Source organism: Homo sapiens, chromosome Y, assembly GCF_000001405.40.
Source record: "Homo sapiens chromosome Y, GRCh38.p14 Primary Assembly".
Taxonomy (NCBI): Eukaryota; Metazoa; Chordata; class Mammalia; order Primates; family Hominidae; genus Homo; species Homo sapiens.
This window is the reverse complement of record NC_000024.10, coordinates 14048049-14057605: the sequence shown is the minus strand read 5'-3', so window position 1 is coordinate 14057605 and position 9557 is coordinate 14048049. Positions and strand designations below refer to the sequence as shown.

The 9557-nt window shown below is 44.6% G+C and overlaps 1 protein-coding gene across 1 annotated transcript; it reads right to left on the bottom strand.

Moving 5' to 3' along the window:
• Nucleotides 1-647: 647 nt before the first annotated feature.
• VCY1B (variable charge Y-linked 1B) lies at nucleotides 648-1379 on the bottom strand. The gene is made up of 2 exons (NM_181880.2): nucleotides 1215-1379; nucleotides 648-1022 (listed from the first exon to the last, which is right to left on the bottom strand). Exons 1-2 carry the CDS (start codon nucleotides 1314-1316, stop codon nucleotides 747-749), a joined length of 378 nt encoding a protein of 125 aa, NP_870996.1. The 5' UTR covers nucleotides 1317-1379; the 3' UTR covers nucleotides 648-746.
• Nucleotides 1380-9557: the final 8178 nt, after the last annotated feature.

Sequence of the window (9557 nt, the reverse complement as noted above, 5' to 3'; positions counted from 1 at the left end):
TCTTCCTACCTCCCCGCCACACACCTTTTCCTCCCTCCCTCCCTACACACCACGTATTCCTGTCTCCCTCCCCACACACCACGTCTTCCCCCCTGTCTCCCTCCTGACACACCTCTTCTTCCTCCCTCCCTCCCCACACACCTCTTCTTCCTCCATCCCTTCCCACACACCTCTTCCTCCCTCCCTCCCCACACACCTCATCTTCCTCCCTCCCTCCCACCCCACACACCACCTCTTCCTCACTCCCTCCCCACCCACCACCTCTTCCTCCCTCCCCACACACCACCTCTTCCTCACTCCCTCCCCACCCACCCCTTCCTCCCTCCCCACACCACTTCTTCCCTCCCTCCCCACAAACCTCCTCTTCCTCCCTCCCTGCCCACCCACCACCTCTGCCTCCCTCCCTCCCTCCCTACACACCACCTCTTCCCGCCTGCCTCCCTCCTGACACACTTCTTCCCTCCCTCCCCACACACCACCTCTTCCTCCCTCCCTCCCCACACACCACCTCTTCCTTCCTCCCTCCCCACCCACCACCTCTGCCTCCCTCCCTCCCCACACACCACCTCTTCCTCCCTCCCTCCCCACACACCTCTTACCCCCCCCTCCCTCCCTCCTCACCATCAGAGAACACGGAGTCACTCAGATCGGTTTGCAACACATTCATTTTATTGTCATCAACATGGGAAGCACCCTGCTGGTGAGATCTCTGAGGTCTGGCAGCTGGGCCTAAACTTAGTTGCTGCTCAGGGAGATAGGGGAGTAGATGGGCGCCCCTTACTCAGTGGTTCCTCCAGCTCGCTCTCCTGACTCAGGGGGTCGTGCTGGGTCCCCTCGCTCACTGGCTCCTCCGGCGGCAGCTCGTGCTGAGGGAGCTCCTGGCTGGGCTGGTCGCTGGGGCCGGGTGCCGCTGGCCCGCTCTCCGCCTCAGGTGCCGTCACGGCCGCCATCTTTGTCGCAGCCCCTTTCTTCCCGCGTCTCCCTCCACGAACTGCTTCTCCCTTCTCGGCCACCTTGGTAGTCTGGAAGGACAACAGGGAGATCACAGAAGGGCTCTGGTTTAGGGACGAGGATGGAGGAGGCTGGGAACAGGGACGTGTCCTCAGAAGCGGTGGGGGCCGGGTTGGGGGGTTGTGCCAAGTGAGGACAGGAGAGGCTTCTTGTGAGGAAAGAGGCGAGGGGAAGACGAGGAGGAGCTTGGGAGGGTCACTCACCTTCTTCTTCGGGCCACTGGGGCTCGGCTGAGAGGAGGACTTCCTCTTTCCTGTCTCCTTGGCCTTGGCCGGAGGTCCCGAGGCTCTCGGCTTTGGACTCATCTGCCGCAGCTCAACGTCTCGCAACGGTCGACTAACTCCAGGCTGCCTGGCCTCCCTGTGTATACCCCTCTCGCGATCCCAGGACGAGACGATCACGCCCCTGAGCTGTGATTGGTCAACACTCCACTACCCAGCCAATGGTAGCCCTGGGTGGGAAGGAAGGCCTTATACGTCATAAAGCACCATCAGGACATGGCGGATGAAGTCGGGGGCGGGGGGGGGGGGCGGTGACATCTAATGAGGAAGGCAGGGTGCTCTAGTTGGAGAAAGGGAGATTTGGGTTAGCACCCCTAAAGATAGTTCCCAAACTGACATGTCGCCCCTCCTAAACTCCCCATGTTCAGTTTTGGCAGATCATGTGGCAAGGGAGGATATTTCCCCCACATGTTTCCCCCGGAACCCCCATTCAGTGGTACATTCTGTTCCTCCACAACTACCATCATTACCCAGTTTCTGTATGTCCTACCTAAAATCCCTCCATGCTAACTGGGATGGATGGAGGGCTGTACGAAGACGTCAGTCATCCCTCTCTCCTACAAATTCCTCTGCTACACCTTGAGGATCATTCACTTCTTGGCTGCCATGGAACAACTTTTCCATCTCACATGCTTCTCCCAGCATCCACATAGTGCCTCACAATTTTTCATTCTCATGGTTTAAAGCACTGGCTTCCAGAGGTCAAGATTAGCAAACACACTAGCTCAGCTGGGTATCTGTATCGGGCTGGGTTCCTCAGAGAAGGAGAAACTAAACCAAACAGGATACTCTGTGTGTGTGTGTGTGTGTGTGTGTGTGTGTGTGTGTGTGTGTGTGTAATATTATATATCATAAATATGTATTTACTACCATGTAGTATTTATTTATGAATAATATTATATATGAGATACAGTTTATTCTAAACAATTGGCTCACACATTCACACAATGTGGGGGTCTAGGCAGCTGAAATGTATAGGGCAAGTGAGCATCCTGGAAACTAAAAGTTTCTGCACAGCCAACAATCAACACAATGAAAAGGCACGCTATGGTTTGGGAGAAGCTATTTGCGAACCATATATCTAATAATGAGTTAATATCCAAAGTATATAAAGAACTCACATAGCTCAATAGCAAATAAATAGTATGGTTAACAAATAGGCAAAGGACTTGAATAGGCATTTCTAGAAAGAAAACACACAACTGGCCAACAGGTATATGAAAATGTGCTCAACATCGTTAATAATCAGAGAATGCAAATGATAACCACAATGAACTATCACCTCACTGTTACATGCTGTTGACAGACGTGTAATTGGCACAGCCGTTATAAAAAATAGTATAATTGTTCCTTGGAAAATCAAAATAGATCTACCATACGACCCAGCAGCTCATCTGTTGAGTATGTACCCCACCCCTGAAATGAAGTCCACATCTCATACAGATATCTCCAGTACTAATTGTAACTCACTAATTACACAGGAAATTAGAGTTTCTATTTGAAAAGAATGGTTTTTTTTTCACCATTCTGGTATCAAATATTTATTCTAGTCATCTCTTCTTATTTCTTACTTTGTAATAACCTAGGTACTGCTGCCCATTGACAGAACCACCTTATTATTCCAGCAAGAAATGAGAAATATTGAGGAGAATGCAATATTATACTTCTGTCTTCAACCAGTTTTTCCCATTTTAGGGAGGATTCTGTATTTAACTCTTACTCAGGTAACTCTAGTTACCATATCCGTAGTACCTAGTCAACAATCCAAAAAAAGTAAGAACACAGAATTGACTGGAGTGGTTACTAAACTTTCTATGTTCAACCAGTTTCCTAGTAATTGCTAGTTGTTTATTCAACTAGTACTGAGAAGAATTTGTTTATTCCAGGTACTGGCTTCATGTAGTTATCTCTAGTTAATTACTTACTTGGATAAAGTTGAAAGCTACTGTATTAGGTAATACTTCTAACATGAGGTTGGAATTTTGCATTGAGGAAAATGGTTATTGAACTCCCTGGCATAGGCCAGTTATCTTCAGCTTCCTGGGATCAATTACCTGGTCTGGCTAATTCTAGCTATCTTTAGGTTGCTAATTACATGTTTACCACCAGATGTCTGTGGTAATTCATTATTCCAACAAAACGTAGTAGAATGATTAGGAAGGATTTTGCTTTTTCCAGACATCACATAGATATTCAAATTATCTCCTGTTATCCTTTGTACCTTTTTTTCCTGGGTAACACTCAGCACCTATCCTTCTAAGTTCTTATCCCAACTAAAATCAATAATTGAGACTTGCAAAGGATATGATTTTCAGGATCAGGTTCACTTGGTATTGCAATGATTGTTAGCTGTTTCTATGAAATGTGTTTCATGGGAAAGCCCAGTTAAGTAGAACTTACGTATTAACTCAACACCAGCAAAATTTTATCTGACCTGACCAGATTCCCTATGTTCTACATTCCACTGAACTATTCTTGCTGTCTCTATTTTACTACTTACTTAGGTACCTGACTTATCTGTGGTAGTAATTCATTATTCCAACAATAACTCAGCAGGACGTGGTGAGAAGAATGTGATTTTATTTTTAAAATATATTTTTATTGAGGTAAAATATACACATGTAATGTATCTGCTTTACACCTGTAACCGTGCAGTTCAGTGGTAATAAATACATTTATATTCTTTTATTTCCCCTTCATCCCCTGCTTCCCCTTCTGGCCTCTGGTAACCATCACTATAGTCGCTATCTTCATGAGAACCACTTTTTTAGCTCCCATATATGAGTGAAAACATGCAATGTTTGTTTTTCTGTGCCTGGCTTATTTCATTTAACATAATATCCAGTCATTCTTTTCATGCCTGGATAATATTCCATTGTGTACGTATGCCACATTTGCCTAATCCATTCATCCATCAATGGGCACTTAGGCTAAATCCATATTTTGGCTATTGTGACTTGTGCTGCAATACACATGAGTATGCAGATATATCTCTTTGATCTTCAGATAAATTTATTTATCTATCTATCCATCTCTCTCTCTCTCTCTCTCTCTCTCCTCTCTCTCCCCCTCCCTCTCTTTCCCCAGCAGTGGAATACTTGGATCATATACTAGTTCTATTTTTAGGATTTTGAGGAACCCCATACTGTTCTCCATAGGGGCTGTAGTAAATTACATTCCCACCAACAGTGTACACAGGTTCCCCTTTCTCCACCTCCCTGCTCGCATCTGTTCATGCCTGTATTTTGATAAAATCCATTTAACTGGAGTGAGATGATATTGCATTGTGGTTTTGATTTGTATTTCTCTGATGATTCATAATAAGCATGTTTTCATATGCCTGCTGGCCATTTTTGTGTCTTCTTTTGAGAAACATCTATTCAGATTATTTGTCCATTTTTAAGTCAGATTGTTTGTTATTAACTTTTTTGAGCTCCTTCTGTATTCTGGTTATGAATCCCGTATCAGATGGGTAGTTTGCAAATATTTTCTGCCATTCTGTGGGTTGTCTCTTCACTTGGTTGATAATTTCCTTTGCTATGCAGAAGCTTTTTAACTTGATGTAATCCCGATAGTTTATGTTTGCTTTGATTCTTGTGCTTTTGAGGTCTTACTCAAGAAGTCTTTGCCCAGACCAATGTCCTGGAGCATTTCCCCAATGTTTTTTGGTGGTTTCAGTTACAGGTCATGAATTCAAGTCTTTTTTTTTTTTTTTTTTTGGTTTTTGTTTTGTTTTGTTTTGTTTTGTTTTGTTTTTTTGACAGAGTCTCATCTCACTCTGTTGTTCAGGCCCAGGCTGGAGTGCAGTGTCACCATCTCTGCTCACCATAACATCCACCTCCACGGTTCAAGTGATTCTCGTGCCCCAGCCTCCCGAGTAGCTGGGATTACAAGTGTGCACCACCACAGCTGGCTAAGTTTTGTAGTTTTCATAGAGACGGGTTTCACCATACTGGCCAGGCTGGTCTCGAACCCCTGACCTCAAGTGACCCACTCACCTCGGCCACCCAAAGTGCTAGGATTACAGGCGTGAGCCACCACTCCCAGCCAGATTCAAGTCTTTAATCCATTTTTGATTTGCTTTTTGTGTGTGGTGAAAGAGAGGAATCTAGTTTCATTCTTCTGCATATACTCATCCAGCTTTCCTAGTGCTATTTATTGAAATGTTGGTCTTTTCAGCATCATATGTTCTTTTTGTCTTTGTTGAAGTTGAGTTGGTTGTAAGCATGTGGCTTTATATCAGGTTCTCTATTCTGCTCCATTTGTCTCTGTGTCTGTTTTTAAGCCGGTACCATGCTGCTTGGTTCACTATAGCTTTGTCGTAAAATTTTGAAGTCAGGTAGTGTGCTGCTTCCAGCTTTTCACTTTTTGCTCAGGATTGCTTTGGCTATTTGAGGTATTTTATGGTTTCCTATGAATATTATAAGTTTTTTCCTGTTTCTGTGAAGAATGTCTTTGGTAGTTTGGTAGGGCTTGCATTTAATCTGTTAATCGCTTTGGTGAGTATTGTGAATTATACAATATTAATCCTGTCAATCTATAAGCCTGGACTATCTTTCCATGTTTTTGTGTCCTGAGAAGACAGTTGTTTTTTTTTTTTTAATTTCTGTATTTAACTAGTTTTTCTAGCTATTATTACTTATTCCTAGTAAACTAATTACCTGGGTACTGGCAGGTACAGGTCGACCTCATTTTATTGTGATGCACATTTTTGTGTTTATAGATATTGTGTGTTTTTTATAAATTAAAGTTTTCTGGCAACCGTCAAGCATGTCAGTGTCATTTTTCCAACAGCATGTGCCCACTTCATGTCCCTGTGTCACATTTTGGTAATTCTCACAATATTTCCAACTTTTCCATCATGATTATATCTGTTATGATGATTTCTGATCAGTGATCTTTGATGTTATTATTGTAATTGCTTTAGGACTCCAGAAACTGGGCCCATAGAAGAACACACAAGGAGGCATCGCACTACCTGACTTCAAAATATACTACAAAGGTATATTTCAAAATATACTACAGATCTACAGGAGGAGAAAGACGACGGAACAGAATGCTTCACTGATTGTCCCCCTGACCCCCCACCAAGGACACCAATTTAACAACTATCTACACAGAAAAAAACATCTTCATGAGAACCAAAAATCAAGTGAACACCCATAGTACCTGGTTTTAACTTCACGTAGCTTGATATGGTTTGGCTGTGTCCCCACCAAAATCTCAACTTGATTTGTATCTCCCAGAATTCCGACGTGTTATGGGAGGGACCTAGAGGGAGGTAATTGAATCATGGGGGCCGGTCTTTCCTGTGCTAATCTCCTGATAGTGAGTAAGTCTCATGGGATCTGATGGATTTACCAGGGGTTTCTGCTTTTGCTTCTTCTAAGTATTAAGGCGGATATTGCCTGAGTTTGAGTCCCTCCTGAACAATAGACAAACGTCTCCAACTGGTTCACAGGTGTAGGTAGTGCGTTCTTTGTGGGGTGCTGGTGCCACCTTGACCCTGGAGCAGTAAATCCACTTGATGTTTGAGTTGAACAGCTGTCGGGGTCATAAGGAGAACTTGGTATGGTCCAGTCCACGCTGGCTCCAGTGGCTTTTTGTCCTGTGGGAGAGTTTTAAGATATACCTAGTCTTCAGGCATAAGGTTAGGGTGAGTGTTTCCTGAAAAAGAGGGGCCAGGTGTTGGGCTATGAAGACTTTGATAATGATTGATGGCCTTGATGGTTTGTCCCAGGGACATAACATACTGTATGAGATAATGTCTCTTTGGGTCTAACAAAAGGTCAGTTTGGAAGAAAGATCTTCCAAAGAGATTCCAAAGAGAATCTCGAAAGGGCTAGATGGGCTTCACATTTTGCGGTGATACAGGCTCTTAAGAGTACAATGGGGGGCAAAGTTGACCATAACTGTTGGGTTTCATGTGTTAACTTTGTGAGGTGCTTTTTCTGGTTTGATTGGCTGTCTCCGCCTTCCCAGAAGATTGTGGACGTCAAGACGCATGCAGATAATATTTGATCTGGAGAGCTTCACTGATTCTCTGAAAAAAACAAAAAAATTATTTTTTTCTTTTTTCTTTTTTTTTTTTTTTTTTTGACAGATTCTCATCTCACACTGTTGTTCAGGCCCAGGCTGGAGTGCAGTGTCACCATCTCGGTTCACTATAACATCCACCTCCTCGGTTCAAGTGCTTCTCTTGCCCCAGCCTCCCGAGTAGCTGGGATTACAAGTGTGCACCACCAGAGCTGGCTAAGTTTTGTAGTGTTCGTAGAGAAAAAATGAAATGAAATTTCATGAGAACCAAAAATCAAGTGAACACCCATCGTACCTGGTTTTACCTTCACGTAGCTTGATATGGTTTGGCTGTGTCTCCACCGAAATGTCAACTTGACTTGTATCTCTCAGAATTCTGACGCGTTATGGGAGGGACCTAGGGTCCCTCATTTTAAGAAATGAAAGTGGGGCCATTGTCTGACTGTAGGGCATGAGGGAGCCTAAAACAAGGAAGAATGCGGTCTAAAAGGGCTGAGGTGACTTCTGAGGCCCATGCAGTTTTGGCGGGAAGGGCCTTTATCCATCCAGTGAAGGTGTCTACAAAGACTAACAAATACCTGACTAACAAATACACACATTGCATGATGCATGTGTGTAAAATATATTTGCCAGTCTTCTCGGGGTAGGGTTCCTCTCTTAGAATGGGTTGAAGGATTTGGGGAGGTTTGTGTCCTCCCTCTGGGTTTATTTGGCCTCAGGTGGGACATGCCTGTGAGATGGCTCATAGAGCTTGGGCTATCCCCGTGCTGGTGAACAGTGACTTTATTAGATCTTGGAAGGCCTTAGCCCCTAGATGAGTTGATTGGTATACGCTATTTAGAAACTTCAATTGTGAGGCTCCTGGGAGCAAGAGTTTGCCATTAGGACTTTTTAGCCAGCCCTCTGAGGTATGGGAGAAACCTCTTTCTAGAGCTTTTTGGGCTTCCCCCTCTTTATAGTGTGGAGACAGGGAAGTTAGGCTAGGAATGAAGACAGCCTGAAAGGGTGACCTGGCAGCCACTTTTACTTATTTGTCAGCCCAGGTGTTCCCGATAGAGATTTCATCATTGCTTCTCTGATGGGCTTTGCAGTGAATGATAGTGACCTGTGGGGGAAGCATAGCTGCCTCCAACGGGGCCATGATTTCAGGAACACATTTAATGGAAGTATTTCAGGCCATTAAAAGTCCTCTTTCCTGCCAAATGGCTGCATGGGCATGCACTGCATGATAGACATAGGCTGAGTCTGTGTAAATATTAAGCCTCAGGCCTGCCCCTAATTGTAAGGCACAGGTAAGAGCAATGAGCTCAGCCTTTTGGGCTGAGGTGCTACTTCCTGGCAGAGGTCCAGATTCTGTGATTTCAGTTAGGTTAATAGTAGCATACCCTGACAGTTGGGTTCCACCTATCATAAAGCTACTGCCATCTGTGTACCGTGTGGCCTCTGAATCTATAAGGGGAATATCCTGGAGGTCTGGTCTAACATTACAGGTTAGATCTATGGTTTCCAAGCAAGAATGTTAAAGTGGCCTCTCCACATTTGGGTTTGGTAACAGCATGCCAGCATTAAGGGTTGGCAGAGCCTAATACTCAATTCTGGTACCTGTAGAAGGAGTGTTGGAAATTTGCTTATATGGCTCTGTGAGATCCAGTGAAAGGCCTTTGAGTTTAGGACATTCATTACTTGATGTGGGGTGTAGACAGTTATTGCTTGGCCCAGAATTAGCTCGGAGGCCTCCACAACCAGGAGAGCCACACACACTAGCACTCAGAGGCATGGCAGCCATCCCCATGCCTTTTTTTTGACAAGTAACTAGCTGGCCACTGGGAGGGTCCCAGTGGCTGAGTGAGGACTCCAAGGGCTGTATCCCTTCTCTCAACTATGAACAAGTAAAGATGCTTTGTAAGATCTGGCAAGGCCAGGGCGTGGGCTTGTTTGAGGGTTTTTAGAACACTGTCCATTTCAAGGCTCCAATTTAAGAGCTCCCCCCCGCCGATCCTTGCAGTGCCCCATAAAGAGGTTTTGCTATAAGTCCTAACCGGGTTGTCCAAATGTGACAGAAACCTACCATTCGAAGAAAGGACTACAACTGATGTTTAGTGGATGGAATGTCCACGTTTAGCATAAGATTTTTGCGGTGGTCTGAGAGATCCTTGGGCCCTGGGATGAATGTTAGTCTCAAGAATCAAACCTCCTGAGAGAAGATTTGAGCTTTGGAAGGAGACACTT